At 39.5% G+C, this 13,894-nt stretch overlaps 1 protein-coding gene across 2 annotated transcripts in view, besides 1 other annotated feature; it reads left to right on the top strand.

The window, feature by feature from the left end:
* Positions 1-13,894, top strand: part of CUBN (cubilin) — a 305,846-nt gene that overhangs the window by 8,110 nt on the left and 283,842 nt on the right. For both annotated transcript variants that reach the window (NM_001081.4, XM_011519708.3), the window contains exons 7-10: positions 6,105-6,231; positions 7,513-7,675; positions 10,652-10,783; positions 11,967-12,062. In NM_001081.4, the coding sequence (NP_001072.2) occupies positions 6,105-6,231; positions 7,513-7,675; positions 10,652-10,783; positions 11,967-12,062 (518 nt within the window). The remainder of the gene's footprint in view (positions 1-6,104; positions 6,232-7,512; positions 7,676-10,651; positions 10,784-11,966; positions 12,063-13,894) is intronic.
* Positions 5,335-6,534: an enhancer, noted in NCBI's record as "MED14-independent group 3 enhancer chr10:17157167-17158366 (GRCh37/hg19 assembly coordinates)". NCBI's record gives its function as "activates an origin of replication core promoter dependent on BRD2, BRD4, P300/CBP and CDK7 cofactors, and independent of MED14, by STARR-seq in HCT116 cells {active_cell/tissue: HCT116}" and the evidence as "EXISTENCE:reporter gene assay evidence [ECO:0000049][PMID:35650434]".

Raw genomic sequence — 13,894 nt, 5'->3', positions numbered from 1 at the left:
TTATTATTATACTTTAAGTTTTAGGGTACATGTGCACAATGTTCAGGTTTGTTACTTATGTATACATGTGCCATGTTGGTGTGCTGCATCCATTAACTCGTCATTTAGCATTAGGTATATCTCCTAATGCTATCCCTCCACCCTCCCCCCACCCCACAACAGTCCCCGGTGTGTGATGTTCCCCTTCCTGTGTCCATGTGTTCTCATTGTTCAGTTCCCACCTATGAGTGAGAACATGCGGTGTTTGGTTTTTTGTCCTTGTGATAGTTTGCTGAGAATGATGGTTTCCAGCTTCATCCATGTCCCTACAAAGGACATGAACTCATCATTTTTTTATGGCTGCATAGTATTCCATGTTAAACCATCACTATTAATGCACACTTCTAAAAATGCAGTCACAAACCTTCTCTTTTTATTTGATACTTTTGTTTTTTTGATCTGATCTTTAAAACTTTTACTCATTCCAGGTTATAAACTCAAATTATTCAAACTTCTACTAGATATGTCTATGAGTTCAATCATTATGCAAAAGTAAAATTAACCACTTCTGACTTAAATTTAGTGTTATGTTATTAAAGAGCTTTTTGATTCCAGGACTCTGTTTCTCATTTAAATGAAGCCTTTTTTCCCTGCCTTTGTTAGGCTTGGGCTGGAAGCAAAATGCAGTCTAGTCTCTCATTTCCGTGAACCCATTATCTCCTGATTTCTGTTTATGGGCATTTATCAAGGAGGATTGCTACATAGAGGCATTGGTGGCAAATGTCCAGGCTCCTAGAACTTCTGCTTTCTGACCTTCCTGATATCTAGGAATGTTACAGAGATTAGATTTCACTCCTAGTCTTCCTTTATCATCACTGTCTTTTGGAGTCTTGTGGGCCAATAGAGCGACAAGTATGGGCAAACTGTGATGAGATCCATAGACCAAGATAAAGGCTGTTGCTGTTTTCAGCACGTTATTTCTTCCCCCTGCAAAATGAAAAACAAAACAAAAACCCTTTTACTATTTACCACTCTGCAGCATGTCAGAGGTTAGAGTTCTTTATCCACACACACATATGACAGAATGAGAGCTAGGAGGAAAGGAACCATTTATTTGTTGAAAGCTGCATTTCTAAATGACAGATTCAACTTTGTAAGAACAGTACGAAATTCTCTCTTGCACTCTTTTATAAAGGAGAGCAAGAATACAGAAGAACTGATGATGTGTGGATGGCTTTGGAAATGATCTTGATTCCTAGACTCTGCCCTTCATAGATTTGCTGGAGGACATTAGAGAACAGAGCATTTAAATCAGGGTTCTTTCTCTTGATATGGGAATAGTTTCTGAAACCTCATGAATTCCATTTCATTATCTACACTTTAAGTCCCGTAATTCAGGCATATGTTAGAGACTTTTTGAGGGAATAAAAGAAAATGAAAAAAGGTGCATGAGCATAAGATTAAATTATTGCTTTGTGGAATCCACGTGTAATGAAACAAGTGAACATTTAGATACTTTCTTGAGTTCTGTTAATTATGTGAGGTTAAATCCTTGTTAATCAGGGTATTCACTGAGGCTAGAAAACCCTTTGGGAAATTTCAGCACACATTAGCTAAAAGAAAACTTGAGCCTCAGAATCATCTGGACCTGCAAAAATGTAGTCATGGCATCAAAGTTCGCTTTGGAGTTTGGACCTCATTCAGTTTCTTTAACTCTTTGAGCTCTTTTACTTGGACGGAAAAAGGAGTCTTTAACTGGATTAATAATTTGCCATTGTAAAGACCTCTGAAAAGGTGCAGATACTCATTCATGGAAAGTCCTGTTTCATACCTGTTTCATAGGTAAACTTCTGGTGGAAATTCTTTTTTAGAACAATGATTATAGCACAAGAAACATCATTTTCTGTTTCCACTGATTCTTTTGGCTTGAGGTCTAGACCCAGAGCTTCAGACAACTAACACAATTACATTTCGCCACTTCTCCATGCTGTTACTCCCTCTTTGTTCTGAAGACGTGATTCTTGTTGTTTCCCTGCTCACTTTGTTTTGTTTTGTTTGTTTTTGTTTGTTTGTTTTTGAGACAGAGTCTTGCTCTTGTCACCCAGGCTGGAGTGCAATTGCTGCAACCTCTGCATCCTGGGTACAAGCAATTCTCCTACCTCAGCCTCCCGAGTAGCTGGGATTACAGGCACCTGACACCATACCCGGCTAATTTTTGTATTTTTAGTAGAGATGGGGTTTCACCATGTTGGCCAGGCTGGTCTCAAACTCCTGACCTCAGGTGATCTGCCCGCTTCAGCCACCCAAAGTGCTGGGATTACAGGCGTGAGCCACCGTGCCCAGCCTCCCCTGCTTACTTTGGATTTAAGACAGCCCTTGGGATCTGAGCTTGCCATGCATGGATGGTGTGTGTTGTACATTTAGGGCTCAGATCTAGAAGGCTTTCCAGAAAAACAAAAAGTTGAGTTTCTCTGGTTTTCCAGAAACATGATGATTAGTAAATTTTATTTCACTTATTTCCATTCATATCACTGGTAGATTTTACATCATGCAGAGTTTAAACAATGAGGATAATCTAGTTTTAGCTCAGGTGGTAGTTAGGTATTAAACTTATTACCTTTTTCACTCAGTCAGTAAAATTAGTATTGAACCATGGACTCTAACACAAGTTAAACTATGACTATCCAAGTGTGTTTAACCTCTTCTCAATTGCCAAAATGCACTTGCAGTGTTTTCAAAGAAAAGCCTAGATTTGTTCTGCTGGAACCAAGTTGGCAATAAAAGGTCATAGAAAAGACACTTCTGCTATATCAGTAACTAATAACTAAAGCAGGAATAGTAGTAAGTTGGTTTTAAAAATACAATATATGGCTTTTATTTTCACTTAGGGAGGTATATAAGTAATTGTTCATTTTTAAAGGCCATATCAAGACACCTTGAAAATATATTTTGCCTGTTAACCCTGTTATGTTTAAAAGGTACATGAGGCTGGGCACGGTGGCTCACACCTGTAATCCCAGCATTTTGGGAGGCCGAGGTGGGTGGATCACCTGATGTCAGGAGTTCGAGACCAGCCTTGCTAACATGGTGAAACCCTGTCTCTACCAAAAAATGCAATACTTAGCTTACGTGCTGGCACGCATCTGTAGTCCCAGCTACTTGAGAGGCAGAGGTGGGAAGATCGCTTGAACCTGGGAGGCAGATGTTGCAGTGAGCCGAGATCGCACCACTGCACTCCGCCTGGGCACAAGACCCTGTCTCAAAACAAAACGAAACAAAACAAAACAAAAAGGTGCATAAAAATGCAGCATCTTCATATAACTCTACTTATCAGAATGTAAGAATATAACATGCAGGAACAATGGTGCAGGAGTCGGGTAGACCTAAGTGTCTATTTATCTTCTGCCAATTATTCATTTTGTGGTTTTGGGAAATGTTAGTCTGTAAAATGGGATTAATAATACTTGTCTTTGAGGATCATAGGAAGGAATCCTATGGTTTACTTGAGTTTCTTCCTCCCTTTCTCTATCTTCTCACATCATCTAAACTTAAGTGAAAGAAGTATACTCTGTAGCTATTTAGAGAACAGTATAGGATTAATGCCTACTCATCTCCCAGTGATAATAGCAAGGATGAAGGAAGAGAGAGATAAAGAGAAAGGATTTAACTGCAGGTCCATGAACCAGAATCTCCTCTCAAATCTTATGTCATTTTGCAATAGTTAAGCACTTAGTGATAAAATAAAGACAATCTTCTTAGCACTTGCTACAGGGGAATGCCTGTAGACTGCAATATGACCATAATTCACAGAGATTACCACTATTATTTCATAAGAAATTGAGGCAGAGGGAGTTAGTACATTGTCTGGGTAAACAGTTAACAGGAAGGACCAAAATTTAAACCTAGGCAATCTTATCCCAGGGGTTTCCAAACACTCAGATCTCCCAGACATAGAAAATAGAAAGCTAGTAACAGTTGGTTTAAAGATTCTTCAGCAGGGTGCGGTGGCTCACGCCTGTAATCCCAGGACTTTGGGAGGCCGAGGTGGGCAGATCACCTGAGGTCAAGAGTTCGAGACCAGCCTCTACCTCTAGAAAAGAGACTTCTGCTAAATCAGTAACTAATCAATTGGTTTCACCACATGGTGAAAACCCATCTCTACTAAAAAAAGAAATAAAAAATTAGCCGGGTGTGGTGGCACGCACCTGTAGTCCCAGCTACTCGGGAGGCTGAAGCAGGAGAATTGCTTGAACCTGGGAGGCGGAGGTTGCAGTGAGCTGAGATCATGCCACTGCAGTCCAGCCTGGGTGACAGAGTGAGACTCCATCTCAAAAAAAACAAAAACAAAAATAAAAAAGATTCTTAAACATTGTTGGGAGGTGTTGGGACAGGTGGCAAAGTAAACTTTTAGTAATGAAGTCTCCTGGATCAAATGCTCAAATATGTGTATGAACTGTTTTAAAGTTCCATAATCCTCAAGAGTCTAATTAAATTCTCTATACAAATATTCTATGTAAAGATGGGAGGACAAAGAGGAAAGAAAACAATATGAGAAGGAAAGTAGAGAGAGATGCGGGGAATATAAATGTCTATGGGGGGGATGGATAATTCAATTTCTCTTTAATTTTAATCATTTATTGTTATTTTCCTATGACTTTATCTTAGTGAGCCGTTCCAAAGGCAACTTTGGAATGCTCAGAAATGTCATATATTAATGAATCAGCTTTTATGTAAATATATACTGATGTCGTAAATTGCATGGAACATATTTATACCAAAAAATATTCATTTATTGGAAACTCACATTTATTTGGGCATGCTGTATTTTTATTTGCTAAGTCTGGCCTCCCGACTTGAATGCATGGATGGTGCTCCCTGCATTCTTATTCTCCATTTCTGGCCACACTCATTGCTCTCCTCTTCCTTAGAAACTGCCAAAAAGCTGCCACCCCAGCAATTGGTTCTGGGGCCCACCACAGGCAAGCCGAATCCTGTGCCTGGAGGTTGGTTCTTGATGCCTTTCAAACAGTCAAATGCTAATTTCCCACAATGTCGTTCATACATTGTCATCCATGAACATTACTAAGCTCCTTGTACCTCACTGTGTCTTGTTAAAATAGCTCTTTTCCTTTGTAGAATGGCATGGGAGGGAGGCCTGGCCACGCAGGCACGCCCTGTTCCTTGTCTCTGACCCCTGGCACCAACAGTCATTTCCCCCATGAGAGCTTTTCTTGCCAATTCTGCTCAAGTCCGGCAATCGGCAACCTCTGGGCCTGGCCCTACCTCTCCATCAGATGTGCCCTGGCATGTGGGGATAGGCTTAGGCTTCTGGGACTCCTCTACCCTCCTCCTCCCCTAGCTCCCATGCTCAGATCATAGAAGTTCCCATTAAGCTGCAGAGATAAGGCTAAAGCAGCTTTAACAATGACAAGGGCTTAAAACAACATTGCTTATTTGATTATCATTGGACTTAAATCTTCTAGTAACAAAGCACCCACTGCTAGCTTACGCATAGTGTAATAATTACCACATTTTGTTGGAAATTCAAGTGTGGCTATGAAAGAAATGCCACTGTATTATATTATATAACTACGCTTTTTATGGATAGAAGACATATTGCCCTTTGTAAGATAATAATAATGATCATAGACTGTGAGGTGTGGACACTGGATTGCGTGTGGGGTTATATAATCCTAGAGAGCATTCAGAGTTATCAGTGTAGCCCACGTTGCCTGTGCTTCATGGCAGGTCCAATTGGACAGATGATGAATGGATTTGCTGATCTCTCCCTTTACCTTCTTGAACTAACTCCATTACCTTTGGCTTATACACATCTGACCTTTGAAAATGCTGTTTGATGACCTGATAACACAAGAATTTATAGTGCTAGGCTTACCAGATAATAAGTTGTGATTCACCAACATTGTATTTACTCAATCCACCACTTGGAGCACAGCAGAGTGATTTTCTCCCGAGACTCCAGTCAGTAAATTTGCATTGCTGGCTGACGATTCCAAGTTAACATCGTTGATTTGTAATTTGAATTATTTTTCTCATTGATATTAAGAGACAGGCACTGGCCCCAAAGCGCGTGCCCTGACATTGTGCTCTTGTGTAACCAACAGTTGTCACTGCCCACCTGAGACGTACGGACCCCAGTGTGCATCCAAATATGACGACTGTGAAGGGGGTTCTGTGGCACGCTGTGTCCATGGCATCTGTGAGGATTTAATGCGAGAGCAAGCTGGAGAGGTGGGTCCCTTCCCCAAATGTGCCTCCTTGCAGAGAGCCATGGTTAGTAGCTCCTCCTCCTCCTATGCCCACTGCATACAAGCACTACCTGGAGCTTACAGAGGTGAAGTCACTTCCTGTCTGTAAGTAGGACATAGGCGAGGAGGGGAGATGAACTATGCAGGAAGTAGGACCCAGAGATTAAGATGTCATTATGTAAAATAGGATTTTTTTTTTTTTTTTTTTTTGAGATGGAGCCTCACTCTGTCACCCAGGCTGGAGTGCAGTGGCACGATCTCAGCTCACTGCAACCTTCACCTCCCAGGTTCAAGCAATTCTCGTGACTCAGCCTCCTGAGTAGCTGGGATTACAGGAGCATGCCAACATGCCTGGCTAATTTTGGTATTTTTAGTAGAGACGGGGTTTTGCCATGTTGGCCAGGATGATCTCGAACTCCTGACCTCAGGTGATCCACCCGCCTCAGCCCCGCAAAGCGCTGCGATTACAGGCATGAGCCACCGTGCCCGGCCGAAATGGGACCATTTTTATTATCCCGTCATGACTCTCTCTGAGATAAGACCTTCTCTTGGCCTTGTAAGTTTTATTTTAACAGTGACAAAACACAGGAATATAAAAGGACCAGTCTTGTTGGCAACATGTGGTTTCAAGGAGTCTGACTTTTCCCGGCCTGGGTCTCTGGAACTGCTGCAGACTCTAAGAGCCCACTCCCCAGAACGACCCTCCATGCCCTGCGTCCTGATGACTTTGACTCCTGACCCTCAAGGTTGTCCAGTCTTGGCTGGCTTGGCTCTTCATGAGAACTTCAATTCTTTATTTTTAGTTGTATTTTTTCTACCCATGTGATGGAAAATAATTCCCGTCCAATGATGGGGATGGAAGGGTTGAGGAGGTGGGTAGGAGGAAGAACTTTCCAAAGAAAAACAAACGGAATTGATTTTCCAAGGTCTGTGCCTACATGGGTGTTTTTCCCTCTAAAAACATAGCAGGCTGAGTTGATTGACTTTAATTATATTGACTTACAGTTCTTGATTGTTGTTACTCTTTCCCTGGCATCTTTGGGAGAAATTATAGCTTGCTTTTACTCTGAAATAAAGATGTTTCCCTTTTTGCATGGTCTGGTCTAAATGCTTAATCATATGGGAAGAAAAAGAGAAGCCAGTGGATTGGCCTTATGGAAATGAACGTTAGAGGATAAACAGTTAGGGGCTTGATGAAATGTTCAAAGGCTTTTCTTGCTGATTTTCATGATTGTCTTTATTCACGCTGTTGTCATCCTGCCAGCCCAAGTACAGCTGCGTCTGTGATGCTGGGTGGATGTTTTCACCCAACAGCCCTGCCTGCACGCTGGACAGAGACGAGTGCAGCTTCCAGCCCGGGCCTTGCTCCACACTTGTGCAGTGTTTCAACACTCAAGGCTCTTTCTACTGTGGGGCCTGTCCAACAGGTACATTCTCAGGGCCACAAGCCAGGCTCTGCATGCCAGGTTGGCGAGGTGCCAGAACCAATTTTCTTTCACTATTGATGAGTAAGAAGACAATTCTTAGGAGGTGTTCAAATCCAGTTTTGTGTCCTGGTTCTGCTCGACGATCTCACTGCTATCACAATTCCACGTCAAAAGGGGGAGGCTTGTCCAAAACTGTGCTAGAGTCAGACTTTGGGGCAAGGTTAGCCATAGAATTTGTAAGTTAGACACTGCATTGCAGTGACCACCAACTGACCAGATTTGAGATCAAAAGAGATACTCTAGTCCCACCTTTCATACTAACCAGATGTTTGTACACATGGGGAAATTATTTGACCTCTTTGCATCTCCACCACAGTCTAGTAGCTCTTGCCTGGGTGTGTCATTAGAGTATCTTGCGGCCTTGACCTAAACAGAGGTATCCAGCTCCATTATGCCCTGCAGCAACTGAATCTCCAGGGATGCCATATGTTGAGTCATGGAAAACATGGGCTCCGTTAGTCAAAGACTGCCTGTGTTTGAATCCGAGGGCATCTTTTGTTTTATGAGATAGTCATCATATATTCCACACATTTTTTTTTTTGTAGGATGCCTACTATGAGCAAAGCACTGTGCTGGGTGCATTGGTAGGCAATTAGCCAGACCTCAGGTTCATCTGCGCTCCAGGGATGTTCTTAGAAATGGAGCCACAAAGATAATGTAATAATAGTAGCTGGTTTTGTTTTGTTTTGTTGTTGTTGTTTTGAGACAGAGTCTCTCCCTGTCACCCAGGCTGGAGTACAGTGGCATGATCTCAGCTCACTGCAACCTCCACCTCCTGGGTTCAAGCGATTCTCCTGCCTCACCCTCCCGAGTAGCTGGGATTACAGGCACACCTCACCACACCCGGCTAATTTTTGTATTTTTAGTAGAGATGGGGTTTGCCATGTTGGCCAGGCTGGTCTCAAACTCCTGGCCTCAAGTGATCTGCCTGCCCTGGCCTCCAAAACTGCTGGGATTACAGGCGTGAGCCACCACACACGGCCTGGTTTTTATTTTTAATCAAAGTGTTATTAAGGCATTGTATAAGCAATTTTTAATTCTTTTAACTACAACAAAATCAAGACATGGTAAAAATAAGTATTACTCACATTTTACAATATGAGAACTTGAGCTTAAAGAGGTTGAATAACTTGCCCAAGATCGCATAGCTTTACAGATAGCCAGAATTGAAACCCAAGTTTCTTGGCAAGTTTCTTCTCGCCAAGAAACCCCACACACCTATTGCCCCATGTAGTGATTTTTGGTTTAGTGGTTTTCTGCGTGTATATATTTAGATCTTGTAAAACTGGAAAGAAATGGAAAAAAAAAACCTATAAAGACTTTTTCCCTCTTAGTTCTCAGGGGCAAGCACAATTTGCAAGCAATCACATTTTGAAGGTAATTTATCATGGACAATCTTTAAAAACTATAAATCAGAAAAATAAATTATTTAAATTAGAAGATTGGCAATGTTTTTACATTCTTCTTTTTATTGTTGGAGAGGAAAAAGAGAAACAATTTTTTTGTTTTCTTGTTTATCACCCTATTTTTCCTGAAATATATGGTAGTTATATTTTATAAGCAGCAAAGCAATATATGCTGCTTATAAAATATCACTACAAAAATATGGAAAAAATAGAAAAAAATACCTTTGATCTTATCACACAGAGGACCATGATGAACATTTGGGCGTTTTTTTCTTCCAACTTTTTTTCATGTACACATTTTGCCATGCACAAATATGATAATTTTCTTAGGCAGAGTCTTAGAAGAGGATTCTACTTAAATCAAAGAATATGAATATTTTTAAATCTTTAAAGGTTTTTAAGAATTCTTATAATTTTAATAATTTGAATTATAAATCTACAACCATTGAATACAATGGGAACCACTAAAGTAAAATTCTTAAATCTCATCTTCCTAATGACACCATTAGTCATTTGTTCTCCTTCCTCTTCTACTTTATTCTTCATTTGTACAAGCACATATGCAAGAGTTTAAAAAATTCTTTCCCCAAATTAGGAGTATGAGCCCAATCCTCCATATGATTTTAACAGTTTGTTTTTGTTTTTGAGACAAAGTCTCGCCCAGGCTGGAGTGCAGTGGTGCAATCTTGGCTCACTGCAACCTCCACCTCCCGGGTTTGAGGGATTCTTCTGCCTCAGCCTCCCAAGTAGCTGGGACTACAGGCGTGAACCACCACATCCAGCTGATTTTTGTATTTTTAGTACAGATGGTGTTTCACCATTTTGGCCAGGCTGGTCTTGAACTCCTGGCCTCAGGTGATCTGCCCACCTCGGCCTCCCAAAGTGCTGGGATTACAGGCATGAGCCACCTTGCCCAGCCACATTTAGTATTTTAATTAATGTATATACAAAAATTCTTTCAATGTGTGTGTATGCAAATGTAGGTATACAGGTGTACACATGATATTAAAAAGCGTTTTTAGTATTTGGTCACAAAGATGAGTCATAAGGTGTTCAGCTATGCTTCTATTGATAATTGAGGGTTTTTTCCCTATTAAACAGTGCTGCGGTAGACATCCTCTTACCTACTTATACCAGTATACTAAGATGTATACTACCATCTTAGTATACTGGTAGTTTTATCACAATAGGCTGAGTTTTAATAGGTGCAACTGGCAGTCAAAGTCTATGTATTTTAAAAATTTTAGTGAATACTGCCAGAGCTCTTTCCAAATAGGTTATATCAATTTAATGTCTAGCTATCAGCATATAAGAGGAGCCCATTTGCCCACTTTGTTGTCAGAATTTGATTTTAAGAATTCAAAACAACTTTTGCCAATCTGATAAGCATATCTCATTTTTATTTTATAGTTCCTTAGGTGGAGAAGGTTTTTATATGTTTTGACTCTTGTATTTCTTCCTTGTTGACTTGTCTATAGAGCTAAACTTTTAAATCCTCTTGTTTTCCTAGGCTGGCAAGGCAATGGATATATTTGCGAAGATATCAATGAATGTGAGATAAATAACGGCGGCTGTTCTGTGGCTCCACCCGTTGAGTGTGTGAATACACCTGGGTCTTCCCACTGCCAGGCCTGTCCACCAGGTGCTGCCTCGGTTCAATGTCAACCTCCTGACCCCAGCACAGGGAACACAGACATAGGAATACGGAATCTAGTGCTCCATTTAAAATATGATTTCTGGCTGAGTGCAGTTGCTCATGCCTGTAATCCCAGCACTTTGGGAGGCTGAGGTGGGCAGATCACATGAGGTCGGGAGTTCGGGCCTGGCCAACATGGTGAAACCCTGTCTCTACTAAAAAGACAAAAATTAGCTGGGCATGGTGGTGCATGCTTGTAATCCTAGCTACTCGGGAGGCTGAGGCACGAGAATCGCTTGAACCTGGGAAGCGGAGATTGCAGTGAGCTGAGATCGCACCATTGCACTCCAGCCTAGGCAACAGAGTGAGACTCTGTCTTAAAAAAATAAAAAATAAAATATTATTTCTGTCTTAGGAGAGGAAATAGTACAGAAAGTTTTGCTTATCTTGTGAATTCAGGACACATTAGTACAACTCTATGATAAGAAAGAAAAAACATTTTGAATATCAGTAGAAAACAACAAACTTTACAAACTGTCAAATAGCTACAGAGATAATGCAGAATTTGAAAAGTTTTCTGAGTGGATCACAGACTTACTGTTCCATTGCCCTCACGAATAATTTGTTAATATCATGCACTCCTGAGTTGTTTTGCATATACCAAGTTTACTAAACCACAGGCATCACAGTAGGCATATATCGTAATTGTTGGTTTCCCTCCTTTTCTGGAAAGAAGTCTTTTCTGCTATTCTCTAATCTAAATCGAATTACTACCCAAGAAGTTCAGGGAGTACTAAGGGATAAACTGAAACCTTGTATGTTTAAATAACATGGAACTACAGTACTTTGGGCTTCTATAATAATTGACCTCTAAGAACATCAGAGTCACTGTAATATAAAAATATTAACTTTCTTAGTGTCAGCACTTTCTAAGTCTACCAGTAGTTTTATACATATTTTTTTCATTAGAAACAACCCAGAACATTGCTTATGAAATCAGGTTACTAATTCTTGTTATTTTTCTTATTTATGAAATTTCATTTGTTGATGACATTTTATACTTATATTTTTTGTTTCGATGATAGAGGATCCCTGATTGGTCCATTTCATGATATTTGAATCCTAGACAGGCTTTGTCCTCCCATCTTCTTGACATTGTTTCTTATGACCTGGCTCTTGTTCTCATCAGGGTACCAGGGTGACGGAAGAGTGTGCACACTCACAGACATCTGCTCAGTCAGTAATGGAGGCTGCCACCCAGATGCCTCATGCTCCTCAACTCTAGGTAATGACTCATCTCTCTCTTTGGCTTTGGGTATTGTAATATGACCTTCTAAACCAATTCAACATCTTAAACACAAAATCCTCTGTTCTCAAAATTGTTATTTTGACCTTCAAACCTAAAATTAATCCATGCCATAAAACTACACATTTGGCTTTCTTAAATATGTAATAAACTATGCTCTTTAATGGTCTGCTCTGATTTAGGAAATAAGGTAATTAAGCCAGTTAATTAATTAACGACTGTATTCCAACAAGCAGGCAGGAGAAAAGGAGGAAGAAGGCAATGCCACCTTCTTTTGAAGGACTCTTCCATTTCTAGGCCATTGCTTAGAACTGAGCTTTGCTGCAAAGGGAGTTTGGGAAGTACACTCTATATTTCAGGCATCCTGAGTCCAGCTGAAATAAGGAGTTCAGAAAGAAGGAAGTAGAAAATAGATCTAGGGTGACAACCAACAGTGTTTGCAATGCTGCATAGAAGGGTTTAACCCTGTAATTTAACAAAATATATACTGCTAAACTTTCTCCAAGAAAGATTGTATCAATTTATGTATTCACCGACAGTGTATAAAAATACATATTTACTCCATCTTTGACAATAATAGATATTATTATTATTTTTCATCTTGGTCAGTTTTATAGGCAAAATTAGTTTTTCCATTATTTTCATTTATACTTTTTGATTACTAATAATTAATACTTTCCACATTTTCACTGGGCATCTTTCTACTTGTTCATCCCCTTTGCTCTCTTTCTTTCTTACTGATTGGTAAAGTTTCTTTATGTACTAAGGACATTATCTCATTATCTGTCTTATGTTTTATAAGTGTTTTTCCTGGCATGTTGTTTTTGTTTTAATCTTGTAGTGGTAGTGCTATTCAGAAGTTTAGAATTTTTACGTAGTCAAAAAGATAAATCTTTTCTCTTACTATTTCTCCCTTCACAGTCATGTTTAGGAAGGCTTTCTTTACTGAACTCTTTAAAAATTGTCAAGTACATGTTCTTTTATACTTCTATGGTTTCTTTTTTTATGGTAAGATATTTTATATTTTTAGAATGTATTTTTTATCCGTAGCATCAAATAGAGATCTGGCTTGGTATTTTTGCTCAAATAAGTGGACCCAGTTCCATTTCTTGAATAATCATGTCTCTTGCTATTTCAAGATACCACCTTTATTTTTTATTAATTTGTCATATACTTGCATATATAGAAAAGAACATATATGTGTATGTAAACACACACACACACACACACACACACATATACTTGTGACTAAATGCTTATTAAATGATTATCAACATACCAAAGTGGTTAGGAGCATGATTTCTAGATAAAGACTGCTTGCATTTTTCCCTGGGCTCCACCAGATTTTAGCTGCTTGTCCTCAGTGAAGACACTTAATCTCTGTGCTTTAGTTCTTCATCTGTAAAATGAGGATAATAATAGCACCTACCTCAGGGTGCTTCAGATGATTAAATGAGTCCTTATATGTAAAGTGCTTGTAACAAATATTATTACAAAAATAACTGTTTTTTAATATGGAGGACAGTCATAATGTTGATGACATGAAGTATTAATAACACTTTGTGTACTTTTAGGCTGCCCTTCTTTACTGCAACCTGTAAGTTTACCCTGGGAAACTTAAAAAATTTCTACTCAGAGCTTCAACAGTTTCAGAGCTTGCTTACTCCATTTTTCCCTATAAATATTTTTAAAAGAAGTAATTAACTATAAAAAAATGCATTTCTAGGCAATTATTTATTTAAAAGAAATATTTGTGTTTTTTAATATTGAAGTGGAATCTTGCAAGTAATATAAGCTGAGAACATAACAAA

The sequence above is a fragment of the Homo sapiens genome, chromosome 10 (assembly GCF_000001405.40).
Source record: "Homo sapiens chromosome 10, GRCh38.p14 Primary Assembly".
NCBI lineage: Eukaryota > Metazoa > Chordata > Mammalia > Primates > Hominidae > Homo > Homo sapiens.
Note: the sequence above shows the minus strand (reverse complement) of the source record. Positions and strands in the feature narration are given on the sequence as shown.